At 44.7% G+C, this 25,216-nt stretch overlaps 2 protein-coding genes, 1 long non-coding RNA gene and 1 pseudogene across 9 annotated transcripts in view, besides 4 other annotated features; 2 read left to right on the top strand and 2 right to left on the bottom strand.

Annotated features, from left to right (window-relative positions):
* The window catches only part of ARFGEF2 (ARF guanine nucleotide exchange factor 2), a 114,983-nt gene extending 108,958 nt beyond the window's left edge, over positions 1 to 6,025 (top strand). For all 3 annotated transcript variants that reach the window (NM_006420.3, NM_001410846.1, XM_047439832.1), the window contains 2 exons: positions 1,381 to 1,498; positions 2,355 to 6,025. In NM_006420.3, coding sequence (NP_006411.2) covers positions 1,381 to 1,498; positions 2,355 to 2,531 — 295 coding nt within the window. In that variant the 3' untranslated portion in view covers positions 2,532 to 6,025. The remainder of the gene's footprint in view (positions 1 to 1,380; positions 1,499 to 2,354) is intronic.
* On the bottom strand, positions 7,690 to 7,941 carry SNAP23P1 (synaptosome associated protein 23 pseudogene 1; annotated as a pseudogene).
* On the bottom strand, positions 9,795 to 15,388 carry CSE1L-DT (CSE1L divergent transcript). 2 transcript variants are annotated; one of them, NR_110624.1, is made up of 3 exons: positions 15,192 to 15,388; positions 12,482 to 12,704; positions 9,795 to 9,942 (listed from the first exon to the last, which is right to left on the bottom strand). It is a non-coding gene; the product is annotated as a CSE1L divergent transcript (long non-coding RNA). The 2 variants fall into 2 exon arrangements; NR_110625.1 differs by lacking the exon at positions 12,482 to 12,704.
* Positions 15,267 to 15,416: an enhancer, noted in NCBI's record as "active region_18053". NCBI's record gives its function as "activates an Ori minimal core promoter by ATAC-STARR-seq in GM12878 lymphoblastoid cells {active_cell/tissue: GM12878}" and the evidence as "EXISTENCE:reporter gene assay evidence [ECO:0000049][PMID:35858748]".
* The window catches only part of CSE1L (chromosome segregation 1 like), a 50,638-nt gene continuing 41,065 nt past the window's right edge, over positions 15,644 to 25,216 (top strand). For all 4 annotated transcript variants that reach the window (NR_045796.2, NM_001362762.2, NM_001316.4 and 1 more), the window contains exon 1: positions 15,644 to 15,755. The gene's annotated coding sequence lies outside the window, so the exon portion shown is untranslated. The remainder of the gene's footprint in view (positions 15,756 to 25,216) is intronic.
* Positions 15,967 to 16,036: an enhancer, noted in NCBI's record as "active region_18054". NCBI's record gives its function as "activates an Ori minimal core promoter by ATAC-STARR-seq in GM12878 lymphoblastoid cells {active_cell/tissue: GM12878}" and the evidence as "EXISTENCE:reporter gene assay evidence [ECO:0000049][PMID:35858748]".
* Positions 15,967 to 16,642: a biological region, named in NCBI's record as "NANOG-H3K27ac-H3K4me1 hESC enhancer GRCh37_chr20:47663207-47663847".
* Positions 16,002 to 16,642: an enhancer, noted in NCBI's record as "NANOG-H3K27ac-H3K4me1 hESC enhancer chr20:47663207-47663847 (GRCh37/hg19 assembly coordinates)". NCBI's record gives its function as "activates a minimal SCP1, AML or CMV promoter by ChIP-STARR-seq in primed H9 embryonic stem cells {active_cell/tissue: H9 hESC(primed)}" and the evidence as "EXISTENCE:reporter gene assay evidence [ECO:0000049][PMID:30033119]".

Consider the following 25,216-nt stretch of genomic DNA (forward strand, 5'->3'; position numbering starts at 1 on the left):
AGACAAATACCTACAGTCTCATAAAGTTTCTCTAAAGGAGATATGTAGGGCCGGGCGCGGTGGGTCACATCTGTAATCCCAGCACTTTGGGAGGCCGAGCCAGGTGGATCACAAGGTCAGGAGTTTGAGACCAGCCTGGCCAACATGGCCCTGTCTCTACTAAAAATACAAAAATTAACCAGGCATGGTGGCAGGCGCCTGTAATCCCAGCTACTCGGGAGGCTGAGGCAGGAGAATCACTTGAACCCAGGAGGCAGAGGTTGCAGTGAGCCAAGATTGTGCTGTTGCACTCCAGCCTGGGCAACAAGAGCAAGACTCCGTCTCAAAATAAAAAAAAGAGATATGTAAATGTCAAGTTTTTGGCATGTTTTTTAAAAAAGCAATTAAATGTGATTGTGAGGAGAGAAAGGCAGTTATATAATTATGAGTAATAAGCTCTTGTGCTACAGACATTGATTGAGTTCAGCCCTAGCCATGTGCCAGGACTGAGCCAAGTTATGACTTAACATATTTACTTCATTTAATCCTCACAACAACCCCTTGAGTTTGGACTTTTTTTTTTTTTTTTTTTTTTTTTTTTTGAGATAGTCTCACTCTATCGCCCAGGCTGGAGTGCAGTGGTGCAATCTCAGTTTACTGCAACCTCCACCTCCTGAGTTCAAGTGATTCTTGTGCCTCAGCCACCTGAGTAGCTGGAATTACAGATACGCACCACCACACCCAGCTAATTTTTCTATTTTTAGTAGAAATGGGGGTTTGCTACATTGGCCGGGCTGTCTCGAACTCCTGGCTTCAAGTGATCTGCTTGCGTTGGCCTCCCAGAGTGCTGGGATTATAGGCATGAGTCACTGCACCTGGCCAGGCAATTTTTTATCTCCATTTTATAGCTGAAGAAACTAAGGCTCAGTGATTTGCCCAAGATAGCACAGCCAGAGTGGGTGCTCAATAGTTATTGCAGTGGCTGGGCTCAGAGGCTCAGGCTCACATCTATAATCCCAGCACTTTGGGAAGCCAAGGCAGACAGATTGCTGAGCCCAGGAGTTCAAGACCAGCCTGGGCAACGTGGTGAAACCCCATCTCTACTAAAAATCAAAAAAATTAGCCAGGCATGGTGGCGCAAGCATGTAGTGTTAGCTGCTTCAGAGGCAGAGGTGGGAGGATCAGCTTGAGCCCGAGGAGGTCAAGGCTACAGTGAACCTTGATCACACCACTGCACTCCAGCCTGGGCCGCAGAGCAAGACCCTGTCTCAAAAAAAAAAAAGTAATTAAAAAAAACATGTTAAAATAATTTTAAAAATAGCACAAGAATGAATAGTTCTCCCCTGAATGTGAGATGTTAATCAATTGTTTGATATGCCTCCCCCTCTCTAATTCTTCTAGTGTTTGCAGTGAAGCTCTTGCCTATTTCATCACTGTGAATTCTGAGAGCCATCGGGAGGCCTGGACAAGTCTCTTGTTGTTACTTCTAACTAAAACCCTCAAAATAAATGATGAAAAGGTATGAACAAGTAAACTCTGACCAATTTTCACTAGGACATAAAGTTTGGGTTGGCTTTTTACTCAAGAGTTTGCAGTAACTATTTTCTCAGTTCTCCCAAGGATGGTTACGTGACTAGCACCATTCTAGATGCATTGGAGAGAAGTTAATCCGTTATGGACAATGGGTGCCACAGGATATTAGGGCTTTTTGCCTGGAAGAACAGTAGTTGAGAACGGCTGAAGTGTAGACCTCATGTGTTGCTGTTAGGAATGGTATGGTGAGTTTCAGTGCAGGAAGAGAGGGTTAAGATTGTGAAGCACCAGTTTTGACCTAGGAACCTGCTTTACAAAATAAAAGAGCTGTTGACTTTTGGCAGCAAGACTATCCAAATTTAATTAAAGTTAAATATAACTGAAAGAAGCTTTAATTTGCAAGGTTTCTTCAACTTCTTTTTTTTTTTTTGAGACAGAGTCTTGGTCTGTCACACAGGCTGGAATGCAGTGACGTAATCTAGCTCACTGCAATTTCTGCCTCCCAGGCTCAAGCGATCCTCCCACCTCAGCCTCCTGAGTAGCTGGGACCACAGACACGCGCCACTATGCCCAGCTAAGTTTTTGTATTTTTGGTAGAGACAGGGTTTCACCGTGTTGCCTAGGCTGGTCTCGATCTCCTGAGCTCAAGCGATCCACCTGCCTCGGCCTCCCCAAGTGCTGGGATTATAGGCGTGAATCACTGCGCTCGGCCCCAACTTTCTAATAGCAAGAAAAGCACCAATATTGTAATAAGTTCCAGGGTGAGATTAACACTTCTGAAAAACTGGTGCCCAAAAAAAAAAAAAATTGTCTAATTTTATCTGTTTCTCTCCCACCTCAAGTTCAAAGCACATGCTTCAATGTACTACCCCTACTTGTGTGAAATTATGCAGTTTGACCTGATCCCTGAGCTCCGAGCAGTTCTGCGGAAGTTCTTCCTACGGATAGGTGTTGTGTATAAGATATGGATACCAGAAGAGCCATCACAGGTACCAGCAGCACTGTCACCAGTGTGGTAGCCCTGGCTGCCCAGGCCAGTGCTGCAGCTCTGCAGAATGTTCAGCATGCCATTTCTGACTGGCACATCTCGTGAAGTTTCATAGAAACAAGGAGTTGGCATCTTGGATCTCAGAATGGCCTGGAAACGGATGGCCTCTACGCTGTTCCATCACAGTCTCCAACTAAGGCTTATGGTATTTCATTAAACTGTTGCATACCCAGTTAGCACAGTAGGTGGGGAGTCTGCTTCATTTCTATCATTCCATTTTTCTGATTAAACTGTCAAATCTGTCATTGCATATGCCATCGTTTTCTAGCAAAATCCCATGATTGGCTATAAACGTTTTGTAAGAAGTCACTCTCCTTGAAAATACTGAACATAGCTGTATAGGTTTGTGATTATTAGAGAATATGTTAATAAAACTTCTTGTAACGGCTAACTGCCACCTAAAATATGCTGGGTTTTCTGTTGTTTGAGTGTGTTAGAGAAATTTGAATGTTTTTGTCAGTTACGAGTCAGCCGTAATTAGATTAGTTTAAGGACAGGTCAGGATTAGAGAAGAGTTGTTTTTGTGTTTTGTTAATGTCTGAGTGATTTTTAAAGTATTTTACAAAAAGATATTGAAAATTTGGTTGAAGGCAGAGTTTAGTAATTAAGTTAGAATTAAGAGTTTTGCGAGGTTAAAAAAATGTGCCTCGTGGATCTCCCTGTTTTAGTAACATGGAGAGAAAAAGTCTACACGAAAAAGTGAACAATTTAATGAAGATGATTAGCCTTCCTTGAAATAAGTATTTGTGGATGGGTGTTAAATTAAAATTTCCAGAATACACTGTCCATCTCACACACTCTGAAATCTAATATATGAAGTAGTAATGAAAATGAAGTAGTAATTTAACCAGAGTTCATTTATCCTTGAATAAACCTTTTTATTTTCACCTCAGAAAAGTGAGTGTACTGGCAGTTAGTGTCACTGCTTTGCACAGTCCCCATTAAAGGACCCTCCAGAGAGGGACAGTAACTGTGCATGAGAAGCCGCTCCCATAAGCCTCCTCAGCCAGATGTCATGGGTGGAACTGGAGCTGTGTCGGGGCCAGCACAGCTGAACTGTGACAATGGCAGGAGGTGGCATGTGCCCAGCACTTCCATTAATCTGAGCCTAGGAGTTGAATTCTTTGGCAAGGTTGGATTCTGAGGTCCTTATTATGTTAATGATGGTGCAATACTCTCACCTGCAGTAGAACTGAGTTCTGCTGCAGCTTGTGTAAAAGTGGGCAGTACACAAGTACGTCCCAAAGCCTGTGAGCAGTATACGTGGATGCTCACCCATGAGAAGGAGCACACACGCCTCATTCTCTGCCCTCACCCACTGCTCACCTAGAGCATCGCTGAGCGTTAGACAAAGTGTTACACAGAATGATTAAAACTTTCAGACTTCTACCTATGCTCTTTAGTCCTGTAAATTGGGTTGTATTGATGTCAACTCTGGTGCCTTAGAAGTTAGTAGTTTGGGAACCTATCTGTAAAATCAGATGTTTTTTCTTTGTAGAGAAGGATTTCTGGTGCTTTTGCTTACTAAGAGACCGATATTCTTAAGTTGTTTTCTTGTTTTAACAGCCTTGAGAAATGTTTGGTTTTGGCCAGCAGAATTCTTGTCTACTTTTTTCTTTCCCAAAAAGTGTTTTTTAATTTCTCTACCAAAGAAAAAATGAGCAGGTTTAGGTTTTTACATGACTTATATACATTAGATAAAAGGAGCTGTATAATTTAGCAGGAAGGGACTATGGGAGAATACTTTACTGTGAGTGGAAAATGTTAGCACATTTGACTGGTTTGCCCTGGAATCCACTGCACCTTTACACTGCACCATGAAACCTACACTCCCTGGTATCATAGCGCGTCATCACCTCAACAAGTCAGTCGTCTCCATTGATATTTGTACAAAAGGTATACATGGGGAACACGTGTTCATTCATTAAGTCCATCTTGCGTGCAGCTATATCCCTGATTGGTTATTTTTCCTTTCCTTCTGAGGTTCTCATGTCATTTTCTTCATCGGATGTGACTAAAATTTTTCTGGTGTCTTCTGCCCTCTCTTTAATTTTGCCTCTTGAGGGGTAGCAGATGTGTCAGTGCATTTTATTACTTGCTGAAACATTCAGGCTTACATTTCTTATTAGTTTAGTATTTTAAAAGATTTAATTTTCTGAATGAGGCATTTGAATTGTACCAGCAATGGACTTTTAAAAAATTGGATGTAAAACCATTCAGGGTGATTTTTCTTGTCAGTGGACAGTGACGAACAGAGATTTGAAATCCCTTACCTCCAATAATAAGCCATTCAGCCTAAATTCATTTTTATGAATAAATCTCTTCTTTCTCATGGTAAATGTGGCTTGTGCCACTCAAACACTAGTGAAAGGGTATGTACAACCGCAACATCAGGCCAGGACACCATTTATTTAACCAAGTAATGGAGGAGAGTGAAACATTTTCCAAGGCCTTATTTCTTTTTCAGAATGCTTTAAGTGTTGATTATATGTGCTGGGTCTCTAGAGAAGTTTTTATTTGTTACAATACTGCTGCTTTGAGCAATTTTGTTTCTCTTCATTGTCTGTTAGGGAAATCACCAGCTTTGGCATCTTAACAACAAACAGTGGATGGGTAATTTTTATTTCTGATACGCATCTTTAGAGTCAAATATATCTTTTCCCTGTACTCCTCATGTACAACCAAAGAACATACATTATGAAAATTGTATTATAATATCTGGAAACACAACATTTTCCTCTGGCAGGTGACTTTTGTACGAAATGAAAAAAAAAAAACCTGTATTTTTTTTGTTGTTCTTTTGTGATTAAGGATATACATTTAGTAGTCTTTGTTATTAAAGGAACCTGCTGATAAGTACAAGTGTGACCATCTCATTCAAATGTTTGTTGTTATGATGCAAATGGATATTGGTTTCAATAGAAGCTGGATCCTTAATACTGCATTTTCTGAATTCTGTTTTAATATTTGTGTTAAAGTAGACATAGCTGAACTCACATGGAATCCTGGAGTTTTGTTATCAGCAGCTTTGCAGTTTGGGAAACAAAGAAACCAAAGCTGAGTGTTTTAAAGAATGAACATATCTGGAAATCCTTGCTCTCAAAACAAAACAATATAATCTATCAAAGGTGTTTTACTCAGTGTTCTAATTTTTAAAAAATTTTATCTGCATATTTGCATCAAATATTTATGTGTAAAATGTATGTTTTACCTCCTTAAAATGCCTAAAAGTTAGTTAATAGTTACTTTGGTTTAACCTATACACAATGATTAAGTGCATTTAATATTGGTAATTTAATGAAAACCATTCCTTGCCCAATGGATGTATAAATTTTTGAAAGAATAAGCAGAATTATATAATATGAAATGCTATGTAAAGTTTTCTATGTAAAAATATTATGTATAATACTATTAAAATATCCCATGCTTTGATCAGGTGGTACATCAATAAAATTTTAAAAAGTATAGCTGTTTCTAATGTGTAGTAATTTAAAAAACATATATCAAGCCGTAGTTTTGGGTCAGTTTATGTCCCTCACCAATGAAAGGGGGAAAATTCTAGTCATGAGATTCTTTATATGCCTCTTGAATCTATTAACTTTGTTGTTGCTAGTTACAAAATGTAATTGTAAGGATCAAGTAGTGGCTATTGGTTCAGCCAGTACACATTGACAGCTTTGAAATATTCAGATGCTAATTTATTTATTTATTTTTGAGACAGGGTCTTGCCCTGTAGCCCAGGCTGAGAGCAGTGGTGCAATCACAGCTCACTGCAGCCTTAACCTTCTTGGTTCAAGTAATTCTCCCACCTCAGCTTCCTGATTAGCCGGAACTATAGGGCCAGTAGTGAGACACCTTGCCTGGCTAATTTTTGTATTTTTTTGTAGAGTTGGGGTTTCACCATGTTGCCCAGGCTGGTCTTGAACTCCTGGCCTCAGTGATCCTCCCACCTTGGCCTCCCAAAGTGCTGAAATTACAGGTGTGAGTACCACGCCAACTGAGATGCTAATTTTTAAGTCAATGTGACAAATACTAATCAGATTCCCATAACAGTGTTTAGGATCTACATAAATTTGATTCTGGACATAGTTCTATACACAAGGGTAAGAGACTGACAGTGTAATTCCCCAATAATTAAACTAAAGGTATAATTTTCCAAATCACTTTTAGTAACACAATAAATTCTAACTTTTTTTAAAAATAGAGATGGGGGTCTCACTATGTTGGCCAAATTGGTCTTCAGCTCCTGGGCTCAAGTGATCCTCCCACCTCAGCCTCCCAATGTATTGGGATTATAGGTGTAAGCCACTACATCCAGCCAATTCTAACTTTTTAAGTCTAGGGTCTGGCATGGTGGGAGGATTGCTAGAAGCCAGGAGTTTGAGACCAATCTGGGGAATGTAGTGAGACCCTATCTCTACAAAATAATAATAGCAAGTGTGGTGGCACACGCCTGTAGTCCCAGCTACCCAGGAGACTGGGGTGGGGAGGACTGCTTGAGCCCAGGAGGTCGAGGCTGCAGTGAGCTTTGTTTGTGCCACTGCACTTCAGCCTGGGTGACAGCCTGTCTCAAAAAAACAAAAACCAAAAAAACCTTCTGGCCACAAAGCAAAAAGTTGCATAGCCACGGTAAAGATTTAGTTGGTTATAAAGTTGTAGTTATTGCCACTTTAAGCTAATACTTCGTTTTGGAGCTTTTATACACAGTATTTTTGTTAGGGATCACAGTTCTGCAACCTCTGCTCCAAAAAGAATGAGTTTTCTTAAAGGGAGCTTAACTTCTGAAGTCTTAGTGATTCATAGGTGTGCATAGAATGTGTGATTCCACATCCCAGGTGGAAAGAAAGCAATCTTTCCACCTCAGCCTCCCAAAATGCTGGGATTACAGGCACGTGCCACCATGCCCAGCTAGGTTTTTGCTGAGGTTAACCTCTTATCTCTTGTCCCTCCCTCCACCACAAAAACCACAAACAAAAAACACTTCTACAGCTTCCTTCTTCTTGGCTGTCTTTGTCAATGTTTCCAATTTTTTTTTTTAAGAGACGTGATCTTGCTTTGTCACCCAGGCTGGGGTGAGTGGCCTCATTGCAGCTGACTGCAGCCTCAATTTCTCGTGCCCAAGCCATCCAAAGTTCTTTGTTCTATTATGTGGACAGACACGAAGGGCATGGCATTTGTTAAGTTCTGTTAAAGTCTTCTCTGCCTCTCTCATGTCTGTATTTTTGTGGCCCATGTCTTCTATGTGGTTGAGTTGTTCCCCTTGTTTATCCAGTATTGTGATGATCTTGATTCCTGCATCCTGAGACTCAATGGCTAAACCCAGGATTCTCCTTGTACTTTCTAGAGACTCATCAGCAACTTGGTGAACCCTCAGATGAATTCTTTTTGATTCAGGATCTTGCTGTGGCTCCCAGGCTGGAGTGCAGTGGCAGTGGCACCATCATAGCTTACTGCAGCCTCAAATTCTTGGGCTCAAGCAATCTTCCTGCCTCAGCCTCCCCAGTAGCTGGGACTACAGGCACACCTCACTATGCCCAGCTAATTTTTTTAAATTTTATTGTAGAGACAGGGTCTTGCTACGTTGCCCCAGCTGGTCTCAAACTCCTAGGCCCAAGTCATCTTCCCACCTCAGCCTCCTAAAGTGCTGGAATTTACAGGCATGAGCCACTGGACTTGGCCCTGAATTTCTTTTAATGACAGATTATCCATGATGAATCAAAACTATCAGGCATGGGCCAGGTGTGGTGGCTTACACCTGTAATCCCAGCACTTTGGGAGGCTGAGGCGGGCAGATCACTAGAGGTCAAGAGTTTGTGACCAGCCTGGCCAATGTGGCAAAACCCTGTCTCTACGAAAAATACAAAAATTAGCTGGGCATGGTGACACACACCTGTAGTCCCATAGTCCCAGCTACTTGGAAGGCTAAGGAACAAGAATCACTTGAACCTGGGAGGCCAAGGTTGCAGTGAGCTGAGATCACACCACTGCACTCTAGCCTGGGCCACAGAGCAAGATTCCTCAAAAAAAAAAAAAAAAAAAAAAAATTACTTGGCTAATTTTTGTATTTTTAGTAGAGACTGGCTTTCACCATGTTGGCCAGGCTGGTCTCAAACTCCTGACCTCAGGTGATTTGCCCGCCTCTGCCTCCCGAAGTGCTAGGATTACAGGCCTGAGACACTGCGCCCAGCCTCTGAAGACCCACTTCTACTGCACACCTGTCATAGGCAGAAAGCAGCCCTGGGCTCCTGCTGCCCTCTGAGAGAGTCCTGGAAGGTACTCTGTCCTTGGCCTTTGGGCCACATTCCATGGACTCCTGGTAAAGTCTCACTTCTCCCTTCCCTTCCACCAAAAGAGGAAAGAAGGAGAATTTAATGGCTGGGCACAGTGGCTCATGCCTATAATCCCAACACTTTGGGAGGCTAAGGCAGGAGGATCACTTGAGGCCAGAAGTTTGAGACCAGCCTGGGAAACGGTGAGACCCCATCTGTCCCCCTCCCCATCTCCCCATCAATGAACTTTAGTACTTTCTCCTGCTAGGCTTTCCATATTGATCATGTTTTTGACTCTTGCTATTTCAACCATTCTTCAGCCATTAATTCGCACAATAACCCCCGTAAAGTAGGTACTATTATCATCATCACCAGCATCCCTCCTTTTTATAGAGGGGTACGGGCTCAGAGAGGTTGACAAACTTGACTTAGGACACTCAGAGGGATTTGAAGCCCTGCAGCCTGGCTCTAGAGCCCGCCTCCTAAACATTGCCCAGATCTAGCCTGGCACCGTGCCTCACACCTGTAACCCCAGCTCTCTGGGAGGCCAAGGCAGGCAGATTGCTTCAGCCCAGGAGTTCGAGACCAGCCTGGGCAACACAGTGAGACTTGTCTCTATTTATTTATTTTTTATTTATATATATATATTTTTTGAGATGGAGTCTGGCTCTGTCGCCCAGGCTGGAGTGCAGTAGTGCAATCTTGGCTCACTGCAATTTTGGCCTCCCAGGTTCAAGCAATTCTTGTGCCTCAGCCTCCTGAGTAGCTGGGACTACAGGTGCGTGTCACCGTGCCCAGGTAATTTTTGTAGTTTTAGTAGAGACGGGATTTCGCCATGTTGATCAGGCTGGTCTTGAACTCCTGACCTCAGGTCGTCTACCCACCTCGGCCTCCTAAAGTGCTGGGATTACGGGTGTGAGCCATCGCATTCGGCCTTGTCTCTATTTAAATAAATAAATAACTGCCCAGCTCCACTTCCAATTTATTTCTTCCACTGCAACCTTGATGCTCCCTTCAAGTCTTGCCCTGGAGAGGAATCTCACACAGGGGAAGGGCTGCTCTGATGTGCTGGAGAGCAGATGGACAGCGGTAGATAATATGGGGCCCTGGCTCCTGTGGACAGAGAACACACTTAGCACAGGACTAACATTTGCAGGCTCTAGGGCAGAAATACAAATGTCGGCTCCCATGCTCTGAGGGTCAACATTGAAAAACTATACGTAAAACTTTTGAATAAGACAGTCTATCTTCCTTCCTTTATAAATGTACCTTTGTAAAGATCTGGAAGGGCAGGTCAAAGATGGAATTCTCAGGCTCCTCAGAGCTCCACACCAGAAAGCAGCAGCACCGGGTGGCTGGCCCAAGACCAGCACCCTGCTCTCTCCACCTCAGGCTTCACCCTGCACCATAAGGCTTTGCATGTGTGCATGGAAGCCCATTCCTGTCCAAACTCCCTGCAAACCCCTTTCTGACCCAAGTCACCCTTCCAGCATGGGAGTGCTCACAAGCTGCTGTGCAGCCCACCCTCTGAAGAAGTGACCCAGGCAAGGGTATCCACAGGCCAGGGCCCTATGGGTTGGGAATTCCAGGGCCCTGTCCAACTGCAGTGTGGTCTCAAAGGGAGTGGCATGGGTTCTAGATGTGCACACCCATTCGGCTAACGGGCAGGAGGGAGCAGCTGGAGGAGGGCCAGGACGAAGCCCTCTAAAGCAAGGGCACGGCAAAGGTCTGCAGGCTTGCCCAGGTCTAAGGCAGGTCTAAAAATCCCACTTGAAGGGATGGAAAAAATATAATTTCCCATCAAGAAGCATGAAAAATACACTTCTAGGTCAGGCGTGGTGCCTCACACCTGTAATTCCAGCACTTTGGGAGGCGGAGGCAGGTGGATCACCTGAGCTCAGGAGTTCAAGACCAGCCTGACCAACATGGTGAAACCCCATCTCTACTAAAAGTACAAAAGTTAGCTGGGTGTGGTGGCACATGCCTGTAATCCCAGCTATTTGGGAGGCTGAGGCAGGAGAATCGCTTGAACCTGGGAGGCGGAGATTGCAGTGAGCCACTGTAATCCCAGCACTTTGGGAGGCCAAGGTGGGTGGAACACTTGAGCCCAGAGGTTTGAGACCAACCTGGGCAACACAGAGAGACCCAATCCCTACAAAAAAAAATTTAAATATATACATTTAAAAATTTTTAATTAAAAAAATATAAAATAAGGAAATAGAGGACATAATATATTACCTACAACTTATATCCTAATTAATAAAGGAGATTTCCCATTTTGTATGAGTAGATTTGTTTTTTTGAGATGGAGTCTCGCTCTGTTGCCCAGCTGGAGTGCAATGGTGCAATCTCAGCTCACTGCAACCTCTGCCTCCTGGGTTCAAGCAATTCTCCTGCCTCAGCCTCCCAAATAGCTGGGATTATAGGCACACAGTACCACGCCCGGCTAATTTTCATATTTTTAGTAGAGATGGGGTTTCACCATGTTGATCAGGCTAGTCTCAAACGTGTAGATTTTTATAACATATAAACATATATTTAAACAGAAATAAGCCAGGTGCAGTGGCTCACGCCTGTAATCCCAGCATTTTGGGAGGCCAAGGTGGGCAGATCACCTGAGGTCAGGTCAAGACCAGCCTGGCCAACATGGTGAAACCATCTCTACTAAAAATACAAAAATTAGCTGAGTGTGGTAGTGGGCGCCTGTAGTCCCAGCTACTTGGGAGGCTGAGGCAGGAGAATTGCTTGAACCTGGGAGGCGGAGGTTGTAGTAAGCCAAAATCGCGCCACTGTACTGTACAGCCTGGGCAACAGAGTGAGATTCCATCTCAAAAAAAAAAAAAAAAATTAAAGTGCCTCCATTTTAAAAAAGATAAGAAACAACAATCAGATACTTCTCAATGTTTAGCTGTTAACACTCTTCTGCATCTCAGTTGGGCTTTAAAAGCGAGATTGAGACATAAGACTTGTTCTTTCCCAGCATAACCAGATGTGTCCACGCCCTTCTGGATCCAAATAAAATGTAAAGTTATCTTCCTCAAGGAGCACACCATAGACAATGTGTCTTTTCAGAATGTCTTTCCTTACATTAGACAGATTGGGGTTTTTTTTGTTTTTGCGCGGGGGGACAGAATCTTGCTTTGTCGCCCAGGCTGGAGTGCAGTGGTGCGACCTCAGCTCACTGCAACCTCTACCTCCCAGGTTCAAGTGATTCTCCTGCCTCAGCCTCCCAAGTAGCTGGGATTACAGGCACCCACCACCACACCCGGCTAATTTTTGTATTTTTAGTAGAGATGGGGTTTCACAATGTTGGCCAGACTGGTCTCGAACTCCTGACCTCGGGTGACCCATCCTGTCCTCCCAAAGTGTTGGGATTACAGGCGTGAGCCACCATGCCCAACCTAGACAGATTGTTTTATAAGGGTTTAGAAAGAAAGGAAACTACATGAATGAGTACTTAGTCTCCTGCTCCTTGAAGTGGATGAATTGTTTTCTTTGGTTTCCAACACAGTCTGTTAAGAGTTGTAGCACGCCCCAAGAGTATGTGCATGTAGTGGAGCTGGGATGGGGAGGATTCCCAAGGGAATCTTTAGCTGTCACCCATGAACCATGCAGAGTGGAGAAGGACACTCAGCCTTTCTGTGGCTCTCACCTGCATGATTATTCTGGTGGCTGCAAAGGGCGATAGGCAGTAGGAGGAGACACCCCGTGACACCAAGAGCTGTGTCCAGACATGATCGTCTTGGCACAGCTTGAGGGTTTTCTACAGAAACTGGTAGAGATGCTAGACAGACACAAGATGCCAGCCAGCCTCCTTTGCGATTGGCTCTTAGAGGTGGAAAATGGTAAAGTCATCAGGCTCATTCTCCCTAGGACTAGAGGAACATGTTAATTATATTAAAGTAGATTAGTGGGCCGGGTGTGGTGGCTCACGCTTGTAATCCCAGCACTTTGGGAGGCCGAGGCGGGCGGATCATGAGGTCAGGAGATCAAGACCATCCTGGCTAACACGGTGAAACCCTGTCTCTACTAAGAATACAAAAAATTAGCTGGGCATGGTGGCGGGCGCCTGTAGTCCCAGCTGCTCGGGAGGCTGAGGCAGGAAAATGGCGTGAACCCAGGAGGTGGAGTTTGCAGTGAGCCGAGATCGCACCACTGCACTCCAGCTTGGGCAACAGTGTGAGACTCCGTCTCAAAAAAAAAAAAAAATGCAGATTAGAACGATTAAAATGATTACTGGTGATTACTGGTACTATTGCTGCAATAGTAAAAATACATCTTTTTCACCAATGTCTTTGTTTTTTTTTAAAATGTTCCACCGTCTTCTGACCATCATGGTTTATTTTTATTTTTATTTTATTTATTTATTTATTTTTTTAAGACACAGTCTCGCTGTCACCCAGGCTGGAGTGCAGTGGCTCGATCTCGGCTCACTGCAGCCTCTGCCTCCCAGGTTCAAGCGATTCTCCTGCCTCAGCCTCCTGAGTAGCTGGGACTACAGGCGCATGCCACCACATCTGGCTAATTTTTGTATTTTTGTAGAGACAGGGTTTTACCATGTTGGCCAGGATGGTCTCGATCTCCTGACCTCATGATCCGCCTGCCTCAGCCTTCCAAAGTGCTGGGATTACAGGCATGAGCCACCGTGCCCGGCCTCACCAATGTCTTTCACTCATGTATCTTTCTCCATGGACTTCACTTATTTATATATGGCATTTCATTCAACATGCAACAAACATTTATTAAGCAGCTACTGTGTGCCTAGTGCTGGGGGTACAGCTGTGAATACCATCAATATGGGGCTAGATGTGGTGGCTCACACCTGTAATCCCGGGGCTTTTTTTTTTTTTGAGATGGAGTTTCGCTCTTGTTGCCCAGGCTGGAGTGCAATGGCAAGATCTCAGCTCACCGCAACCTCTGCCTCCCGGGTTCAAACGACTCTCCTGCCTCAGCCTCCCAAGTAGCTGGGATTGCAGACGTGCGCCACCACACCCGGCTAATTTTGTATTTTTAGTAGAGACGGGGTTTCTCCATGTTGGTCAGGTCTCAAACTCCCAATCTCAGGTGATCTGCCTGCCTCGGTCTCCCAAATCACTGGGATTACCGGCGTGAGCCACCATGCCCAGCCCTATCCCAGTGCTTTAGGAGGCGGAGGTGGGAGGATCACTTGAGGCCAGGAGTTTGCCTGGGCAACATAGTGAGAGCTCATCTCTACAAAAAAATTCAAAATTAGCCAGGTGTGGTGGCAGGTGCCTGTAGTCCTAGCTACTCAGGAGGCTGAGGTGGGAGGATTGCTTTAGCCTAGGAGGTCGAGGTTGCAATGAGCTATGATTGTGCCATTGCACTGCAGCCTGGGTGACAGAGCAAGACCCTGCCTCTTAAAAGAAAAAAAAAAAAAAAAAAAAAGCCCTGGCCAGGCGTGGTGGCTCATGCCTGTAATCCCAGCACTTTGGGAGGCCAAGGCTGGCGGATCACAAGGTCAGGAGTTCAAGATCAGCCTGGCCAATATGGTGAAACCCCGTGTCTACTAAAAATACAAAAATCAGCGGGGCATGGTGGCGGGCACCTGTAGTCCCAGTAACTTGGGGGGCTGAGTCAGGAAAATTGCTTGAACCTGGGAGGCAGAGGTTGCAGTGAGCTGTGACAGCACCACTGCACTCCAGCCCTCCAGCCTGGGCGACAGAGCAAGACTCTGTCTTTAAAAAAAAAAAAAAAAAAGAAAAGCCCTTGCTGTATAGAATCCCTTAGGTTATGGATGGGGAGGAGGGCAGGGGTTTAGGAGGGGAGAAGCGGAAGGAGGAACAAAATAAAGAAGAGACAATTAGTTGGAGAGTGATAAATACCATAATGATATCATGGAACTAGGCTTACCAGATCAAACACTGGGCACCCAGTTCAATGTGAATTTCAGATAAGCAATGCATGATTTTTAAGTATAAATATGTCCTACACAGTATTTATACTAGAAAATTATAAATTTTTTTCTAAAATTTACATTGACCTGGGCAGCCTGCATTTTATTTGCTAAACCTGGCAACCCTAATTTGTGTGCTGGGTGGTGGTGAGTGGGCAATTTCAGATAGGCCTCTTTTGTGGAGGTGACATTTGAGCTGGAACCTAAATGTAAAGAAGGAGCCAATCATTCAGGAATCTAGAACATCCCAGCACAGGGAACAGCAAGTATAAATGCTCTAAAGTGGAAATAAGCTTGGAGCTTAGAGGAACAGGAAGAAGGTGGGGTGGCGGAGCTGAGTGAGGGTGAGGAGAGGAGGGAAGCGGAAGGTGATGAGGGCAGGCAGGCTGGCAGGGGCCAGATCCCATATGGTTTGTGGGCTGTAATAAGAGTACCAAAACTTACATACCAGGCCAGGCGCGGTGGCTCACGCCTGGAATCCCAGCATTTTGGGAGGCCAAGGTGTGCGGATCACTTGAGGCCAGGAGTTCGAGACCTGTCTGGCCGTGTCTCCCTCTAAAATAGAAGCTCCAAGAGGGGCAGGAAGTTCTCTTCCGTCTTAGACCCTATGTGCACGACCTTGGATCGATCAACATTGAACACCTCCTACGTGCCAAGCCCTGACATCAAAATGGGTCAGAAGCCAGCAGCCGCTCGCTGAATCTGTGTTCCTCTTTGGAAAACGAGAACCGTGAAGCCTGCTGGCATGGTCAGAGCCAAAGAGCATTGTCACTTGTGAGATCAGCGCAGAAACAGAGCGGGGCCCCGATTGGCCCTTCGAACTTGGGTGGGGCCAGAGCATTCCTGGCCCCGCCCCCTGCAGCGGGCCGCTCGCTCATGCGCTCTGGCCTCAGGCTCGCTGTCGCGCCATTTTGCCGGGGTTTGAATGTGAGGCGGAGCGGCGGCAGGAGCGGGTAGTGCCAGCTACGGTCCGCGGCTGGGGTTCCCTCCTCCGTTTCTGTATCCCCACGAGGTGAGGCGCGGGGCGTGCACGGCCTACCAGAGTGGCTCTTGGGGCCCAGCTGAGGAAGGGATGAGGCGCTCCCGGTACTAACGAGCGCTAGGGAGTGAGAACCGCGCCTCTGGGCGAGAGCGGAATGTGGGCCCGGGGTTCGGGTGGTGCGCTCAGGCAAGGTCTTCGGCTTCCCTAGGGAGCGCTTGCCGCGCCTCGCGGCATCCTAGGTCTCTGGCCCAGGTGCGGCGACCCCAGGGCCTGTGAGGGCTGAGGGCAACTGAGGCGCGGCCTAACGCGAGCCTGCGGATTGCCCGCCCTTTCCTCTCCATCACGGCGCTGATTGGCTGCGCCGCCGCCTCTCCGCTCGGGAAGGCCGCTCCTTATTGGTCGCGCTCGCATGTCCATTCTCTGCGACGGTGGCTGCTAGCCGCGCGAGCTGAGTGTGCGGCGGCGAGGCCTGCCCGGGCGGGGACTGCGGGCGCGTGGAGCTGCGGCTGCCTCGCGTCGTCCCTTGCCCTAACTCTAGTGAAGCCCCCGAACTCACCCTTCTCTAACCTCTGTACTTGTATCCCTGACTGTAAAACGGGCATCGTGATCTCACTTTGCTGAATTGTTTGTGAGAATTCTAGTCGGTACACCCGGGACATAGAAATCCCCTGTAACGCGGGTTGGGGGAGGGTTCCCTCGTTTTGGGAGAAACGCTGTGCTGTGGTGGTTCGGAGCATAGACTTTGGAATTAGATCGCCTGGGTTCATTCCAGACGTAGCCTCTCGTTAGGGGTGTAACTTGAGGCTGGTCACCTCATCTCACTGAGCCTCCATTTCCTTAGCTGCAAAATGGGGTTAATAACAGAATCTACCTCGGAAAGTGGCTTTGAGGATGCGCTGAGTTATTTACCGTGGTTTACAAAGGTTCCCTGGGAGCTGACGGTTGTTTATTCATCTCTCCCACCCATCTTTCTCCTTAGCCAGTGTGGCTTTCTGTTTCTTCCATATTCCAGGGTTATTCCGATTTAAAATTATTTGCACATGCCTTTTGTTTGCTGGGGAAGTACCAACATTTTTGCAAGGCAGGCCGCCTCTCCCAAGTTTCCCTCACCTTAGGCCTCCCCTAACCAACCTCTTCTTTTGTTTTCTTTTTCTTTTTCTTTTCTCTTTTCTTTTTTTTTTTTTTTTTTTTTTTTTTTTGAGAGAGAGAGTCTCGCTCTGCCTCCCAGGCTGGAGTGCAGTGGCGCGATCTCGACTCACTGCAACCTCCGCCTCCCGGATTCAAGCGATTCTCCTGCCTCAGCCTCCCGAATAGCTGAGACTACAGGTCTGAGACTACACGCCACCACACCCGGCTAATTTTTGTATTTTTATTAGAGACGGGGTTTCACCATGTTGATCAGGCTGTCTAATCAACCTGTCTAGGACCTTTCTCCCATGGCTCTCCATCAACATCACCTGGTTTTAGTTACTTCATAGCATTTACTAACACTTACTTATTGCTTACTTGTTATCTTTCTCAACTGCTAGAATGTAAGCTGTTTGAGAGCAAGGACCTTGTCTGTCTTGCTTACTTCTCTCTCCCTGGTGGGTGCCATCCCACCTGTGCTTGCCACATGGTAGATGCACAAGTATTATTCTTCCTTGGAGGCACAGAAGGGGACCCTTTAGTCTTGGATTCCACCAATTGCTCTTTTTCTCACCTTGGGCCCACATAGTCATATCTTTGGCCTTTCTCTGTGTGTGTCTCTCTCTTTTTTTTTTTTTTTTTTGACATGCTTTCAGAGGATCCTAATGGACCTCGTCTCTCCGCTCCTACAACCCTTTATCTTTCACTTCTTACCATCAGTGCAAGGGAAGTCTCTCTCCCCTTCTGATTACTTCTGCTGGTTGGGGTCTGGGACAGGATTGGATGGATGCAAGAGCAGTGCTCTAGTTTTGGAATTAATTTGTTTCTTTATTCATTTAATAACTTTATTGAGCATCCACTTAATCTCTGGGAATATAGTGAAAAAACAAAAATGGACAAGGTCCCTTCCCTTGAGGACCATGTATTCTCGTGGGCGAAAGAAAAAACATTAGATAATTTCAGATAGTGACAGAATTATGTGACAGGTGAAGAAGGCTTTTCTGAGGAGGTGACATTTGGGTAGAGACCAGCCATTAAAAGGTGAGGGGCAGAACATTCCAGGTAGAGGGAATAGAAGGCTCAAGGCTCAAGGACAGGAACCGGCTTGGAATATTGAAATATTTAAGGAATATCTTAGGTTCCTAGAGTGTTACATGAAGAAGGGAGAAATATCCAGGACCCGGATCATAGAAGGCTTTGTAGGCAATGTAAGGAGTTTGGATTTGATTCTAAGTGGTATATTCCTATGGTTAGAAAGCAGAGGGTAGGTTGAGGTGTTGGGATATGTTCTTCATGTGTGGGTGCCAGATAGTTTTCATTCATTGGATCTCTTTCCCTCTTCCCAAATGTAAGGCCTCGGGAATGGTTCTCTAATGTGTTGAGGACATATCTAAGAAAAAGGCAGACATCTTGGATCAGCTTATGTCACAGATGTCTGTGAGATGGCTTTGGAAAACAAAGCTTTTATTCCAGAAATCTCCACCTGTAATTGAGGGCCTGTGGGAAGATGCTAGACTTAGGTCTGGCCATTCATTCAACAAGAAGAACTTGGAAATTTAGATGTCTGCCATAACTGATTTATTGTGATGCTTTTTTAAGTTTCTTAATTGTGTATTGGTAGAGATTTCCAAAGATAGTTACGTGGAGAAAGAAAAGTATCACCCCCTCATTTAAAGGTGATAAAAATGAATTCTTATCTTCTCCCTCCCTTTTTTTTTTGGAGACACCATCTCACTGTGTTGCCTGGGCTGACCTGGGCTCAGTCTATCCTCCTACCTCAGCCTCCCGAGTAGCTAGGACTACAGGCGTGCACCACCACACTCAACTAATTTTTATTTTTTTTTTGTAGAGATGGCACCATGTTGCCCAGGTTGGTCTCAAACTCCTGGACTCAACCAATCTGCTTACCTTGGCCCCCCAAAGAGCTGGGATTACAGGCATGAGCCACCCTACTTGGCCAAAATGAATGTTTTGTTTCTAGTTTGAGTCATTTTTAGATCAGTAACACTTTTTGCATTTATATATTGCTAATATTTCAGAGTGTCAAAGTACCTTTACTTGTGGTTGCATAAGATAATTAGAGCTTGATCTTGTTGATAATTATGAATACCTGTAAAATGTTCTCTAAAAGTCCCTGATTTCTCTTATTTTCTCAAATTAAGGATAAGCTTAGAATTCGGTTTTATAGACTATATCTGCAAGGCGATATAAAAAGGATTTGTTGACAAATAGTTCCTTAAAGAATATTCCCAAAGAATAAACTTTGGAAGGCCAAGGTGGGCGGATCACTTGAGCTCAGGAGTTCCAGACCAGCCTGGGCAACACTGGAACCATGTCTACAGAAACAACACAAAAATTAGCCAGGTGTGGTGGTGTGTGCCTGTAGTCCCAGCTACTTGGGAGGTTGAAGTAGGAGGATGGCTTGAGCCCAGGAGGCAGAGGTTTCAGTGGGCCAGAATTACACCACTGCATTTCTCCAGCCTAGGTAACAGACCCAGACCCTGTCTCAAAAAAGAGTATTAAGATTCTGGGATCTATGTAGTATTTTAACTTTGAGGGATTATAACATGCATATTTATATAACCCCTCACTTTTTTTTAAACTTAAAAATAGTCCTACCCTAGCATCTCAACTTAATCATTTTAGGTTTCATTCTATTATGTGGTTTTATTTATTTATTTTTATTTTATTTTATTTTATTTTATTTTATTTTTGGAGACAGGGTTTCACTCAGTCACCCATACTGGACTGCAGTGGCAAGACCTCAGCTTATTGCAGCCTAGACCTCCCGGGCTCAAGCAATCCTCCTGCCTCAACTTCCCTAGTAGCTAGGACCACAGGAGGGTATCACCAAGCCCAGCTAATTTTTTTTTTTTTTTTTTTTTTTTTTTGAGATGGGAGTTTCACTTTTGTTGCCCAGGCTAGAGCTAGAGTGCAATGGTGCAGTCTTGGCTCATTGAAACCTCTGCCTCCCGGGTTCAAGCAATTCTCCTGTCTCAGCCTCCTGAGTAGCTGGGATTACAGGCGCATGCCACCACGCCCGGCTAATTTTTTTTTTTTTGTATTTTTAGTAGAGACGGGGTTTCATCACATTGGTCAGGCTGGTCTCGAACTCCTGACCTCAGATGATCCGCCTGCTTCGGCCTCCCAAAGTGCTGGGATTACAGACGTAAGCCACCGCGCCCGGCCTGAGCCCAGCTAATTTTTAAAATTTTTTGTAGAGACAGGATCTCACTATTGTTGCCAAGTCTGGTCTTGAACGGTCCTTGGGGTCAAGTGATCGTCCCATCTCCACCTCCCAAAGTGCTGGGATTACAGAAGTGAGCCACCTTGCTCAGCCTGTTGTGGTTTTAGAATCTAGAAGGTTGTGTCCACCTCTTTCTGTTTGACACAGTCAACCAACCAAAATAAAGATGAAGAATAATATTTTTGATGGAAACATCAAAGGTATCTAGCTTTTTAAAATAGTACAACAAATATATAACGGGTGCTCATCACTATTGTAAGGCTCTAGGGAGAGAGCAGTGAACAAAGCACAAAGTCCCTACTATCAGTGGAGTTTACAATCTAGTGAAGAGAGAAGCACAGTAAATGACAAAAGAAATTAATATGCCTGATAAAATGTACTTGGAAAATAGTAGAGTAAGGGCATGGAGAGTAACTGAGGTGAATGCTCTTTTAGATAGGATGGTGCAGCAAGGCATCTCTGAAAAAAAGATGACATTTGAAAAGAGTCCTTCCAGGCCGGGCACGGTGGCTCATGCCTGTAATCCCAGCACTTTGGGAGGCTGAGGCGGCAGATCACCTGAGGTCAAGAGTTTGAGATTAGCCTGGCCAACACGGTGAAACCGCATCTTTACTGTATATAAAACTCAGCCGGGCGTGGTGGCACGCACCTGTAGTCCCAGCTACTTGGGAGGTTGAGGCAGGAGAATTGCTTGAACCTGGGAGGCGGGGACTGCGGTGAGCTGAGATCACGCCACTGCACTCCAGCCTGGGTGACAGAGCAAAGACCCCTGTCTCCAAAAAAAACAAGAGTCCTGAATGAGAATGAAGTGGGCAGTGCAAACCTTGTAGCTTTCCGTGTGCAGAGCTCTGCAGGCAGAAGGAATGGTAAGTACAGAACCCTGAAACAAAAGTAAAATCACTGGCATGTTTGAACAGGTAATACAGGATAAATTTTATCTTTTTTCAGAGACAGAGTCTTACTCTGTTGCCCAGATTGGAATGCAATGGCATGATCATAGCTCACTGCAGCCTTAAAATTCTGAGCTTAACCAGTCCTTCTGCCTCAGCCTCCAGAGCAGCTGAGACTACAAGTGCTCGCCACCATGCCTGGCTAATTTTTATTTATTGTAGAGACAGGGTCTCACTATGTTGCCCACGCTGGTCTTGAAATCCTAGCCTCAAGTGATCCTTCCGCCTCGGCCTTCCAAAGCGCTGGGATTACAGGCATGAGCCATTCTGCCAGGCCAGAACAAATCTAAAAATTCACTTTCTTGAAGTACTTTTGAATAAACAAATTTAATTGTGGCAGTTAAGTTGGTCATTTGTTCATCTGACATTCATGCAACTGAGTTCCCACATTATGTTGGGGCTGCTAATGATTGATCTGAAGGGATAGTCTCCAGTCTTGACTGGAAACTCATGTTTTGCTGGGTGACTGACATGTTGTGACTTATCCTTTAGTTCATACAACAAATGCTTACTAAATATGTACTGTGTGCCAGGTAATGCTGAAGGTCCTGAGCATACAGACGAAAGTCCCTGCCCTCAGGAGCTTGCAGTCTAGTGTGTGTATGAGACGACAAAGAAGTTTATTTCAAATGAGGGTAATTGCTAACACAGTAAAACAAGGATGATGTAGATGGTAATCGTAGAAGGCCTTTTTGAAGAGTTGACAGTGGGCTGAGTGCTGAATGGTGTCCATTATCAAATTAGAGGATGAGCATTATTATGGTCAGGGAGAACTCTTGTGGCCAGTTTGTAGAACAGAAGGCTTTTGTGCCTGGAATGTAGCAAGAGCCAGGAGGAGGTAGGAGATGAGGTCAGTAGATACCAGATTGCTTAGACCCTGCTGTGGTAAGGGATTTGGTGGTGGTGGTGGTGGTGGTGGTTGTTTTGGAGATAGGGTCTCACTCCCATTGCCCAGTCTGTAGTGCAGTGGCCTGATCACAACTCACAGCAGTCTCAATTTGCTGGATCTACAGGTGTGTGCCACCACACCTGGCTAATTTTTTGTATATTTAGTAGAGACAGGGTCTTGCTGTGTTAGCCCAGGCTGGTCTGAAGCCGGCTGAAGCAATCCACCTGCCTTGGCCTCCCAAAATGCTGGGCTAACAGGCGGCAGCCACTGCACCTGGCCAGGAGTTTGGGTGTTTAAGACAAGTAATTATGAGGAATCTAAGGAGTTTTAGTTGAGAAATATACAAATGCTAGAGAAACATAATGAAGAAAGTGAAATGCAGATTTATTAAGAAGTGTATTTTTAAAAATCAAGAAAATAAGCCCTGTGTGGTGGCATATGCCTGTAGTCCCAGCTATTCCAGAGGCTGAGGCAGGAGGATTGTTTGAGCTCAGGAGTTAGAATCCAATCTGGACAATACAGTGAGACCCCCTGTCTCTCTTTTTTTTTTTTTTTTTTTTTTTTAAAGACAAAATAGATCTGTAAATCTGCCCCTGCACCCTCCCCACCCAAGTTTCTAACAATCTGCCTTGCATGAATCCCCAAAGGTAGAATAAATTTGCATATGGCAAAGAAAGGCCAATTTCCTTTAACTCAGATACACTGATGTTAATGATTTAACTTGACCACAGCAAACTAACTTTTTTTTTTTTTTTTTTTTTTTTTTTTGAGACTGCGTTTCTCTCTTGTTGCCCAGGCTGGAGTGCAATGGCGCAATCTCGCCTCATTGCAACCTTTGCCTCCCAGGTTCAAGCAATTCTCCTGCCTCAGCCTCCCAAGTAGCTGGGATTACAGGCATGTGCTACCAGGCATGGCTAATTTTTAGTAGAGACGGGGTTTCACCATGTTGGCCAGGCTGGTCTCAAACTCTTGACCTCAGGTGATCTGCCCCTCTCAGCCTCCCAGAGTGCTGGGATTATAGGTGTGAGCCACCACACCTGGCCCAAACTTTCATGATTTCATAACTGATCCACCATTTCAATACAGAAAAAAGGAATAGGAAAATAAATGGATTAAATCATTGCTTTCCAAAGTGTGTTCTATTGAAAAGGAGTTCTATAGCCAAATAATGGGAGAGACTGGGCAATCCTCCCACCTTAGCCTCCCAAGTAGCTAGGACTACAGGGCCACACCACCACGCCCGGCTAATTTTTTGTATTTTTAGTAGAGATGGGGTTTTGCCATGTTGCCCAGGCAGGTCTTGAACTCCTGGGCTCAAGCGATCGTCTGCCTCAGCCTCCCACCAGTGGAGACTCTGGATTAATTGATGTGAACCAGTAACTTTGTGAGTTTAAAGTGCTTTGTATTGTGAATCTCCAAAGTGGGGCAGGATATAATGTGTAGCATTTTCCAAACTTGTGATATAAAAAACCATAAAGGGTATAGCCTCTCAATAGATTGTATGTGTGGTTTAATGGGACTTGATTTTCACACCTATAGAGTGGAACACCTGGATTAGAGGGAGTGATTAGGTAGGTGGTGGGATCTACTCAGTCAGAACATTAGCTTCCTGTGATAAACACATTTTCTAATTAAGGGGAAGGACTGCAGCATGTAGAATACAGATAATTCTCTTTAGAAGGTTGGGGTTTCTGGCTGTTGGGGAGTGCCCTGCATAAGCACAGCATTAGATAATATTTTCTTATTTTCTGGCTCCCCACCGCTCAGTTGTCCTCTGGCTGCCCTCTTTTCACATCAGCCTTTCTATTGTGTTGTGAGTGCTTTCACTCTTGGTCAGCCGTCTGTCATTTCCACCTAAGAGGCAGCCTTGGGTAATAGAAAGAGGGTAGACCTACGGAGTTGGACTGATTTAAATCTGATCTTTATTTATTAACCATATATAGTTAATATATGTCAACCTGAGTGCCCTTCTTTGTGTGTAAAATCATTGTGTGGAATAAATGATATGAAGCCTATGAAAACATCTAGCATCGTGTGCCTGGTTCATACATGTGACACTTCCCCCATTCTGCAAACCATTACCAGCCCAAAGGTCCTCTACTCCACTTTCATTACATTTTTACCCACTTAAGAAAACCTTCATGACTTCCCCATACATTAAATCATGGCACTCTTCAGCCAAGTATGGAGGAACCTATATGATCTGGTCTTGATCTCCTAGCCCACTATTCTCTCTTCCCATCTCTGTTACTTTGCTCTCACAATTCATTTTGGCAGATGCGCCCTCATCCTACTTTGCCTATTCAGATACACATATTTTTCAAGGTTCAGCTCAAGGCTCAGGCTCTGGGAAACTCTTGGATGGCCACATAACCCCGTGACTCCCTTCTTAATTTTCTAACGTTTAAGGTGCTGTCTTTGTGATTCATTTGGCACTTCAGAGGACAGATGTTTCAGAATTTGGGATTTTTTTTGGATGCATGTACTGTGGATTATACAACATCCCCAGTGGGGCTTGGGGTAGCACCCTGTAATCAAACGTATTGATATTTCTTTAGTGAAACAAATTTGCATACTAAGTGAGATAAATCTATGTTGATAGCCTCAGGCAGTTCAGGCTGGTTTTGCTGCCAAGTGAGTTTGCCACAAACTTGTTAAAAAACAAACTTTTAAGTTTTTTTATTTTTGGATTTCATCACTTTAGTAAAGGGTATATAGGCCTGTACTTGGCATTTCAGTTGTGTCTTGTCTTCTGAACTATTACAGAAGCTCCTTCTAGGACAGGAACTTGATTGCATATTGTCATAGGCATTTTAAAAATAAATGGGTCCCGGTATGGTGGGTCATGCCTGTAATCCCAGTGTTTTGGGATGCCGAGGCAGGAAAATTGCTTGAGGTCAGGAGTTCAAGACCAGCCTGCGCAATATGGTGAAACCCCATCTCTACAAAAAATACAAAAATTAGCCAGGCATGGTTGATTGCGCCTGTAGTCCCAGCTACTCAAGAGGCTGAGGTGGGAGGTTGGGGCTTGAGCCCTGGAGGTTGAGGCTGTGGTGAGCTATGATCATGCCCCTGCAGTCCAACCTGGGCCACAGAGCAAGACTCTGTCTGAAAAAATAATAAAATTTTTTAAATTCCTTACTGTAAATGTATAATAGATATGTGATTGTAAGATTAGAAAAGTATGAAGAGAATAAAACTCTCCTTATATCTATCACCGAGATGTTATCACTGTTCTACATTTTGGAGTGTGTTTTTTGTTTTCTTCTATATGTGA

Source organism: Homo sapiens, chromosome 20 (genome assembly GCF_000001405.40).
Source record: "Homo sapiens chromosome 20, GRCh38.p14 Primary Assembly".
NCBI lineage: Eukaryota > Metazoa > Chordata > Mammalia > Primates > Hominidae > Homo > Homo sapiens.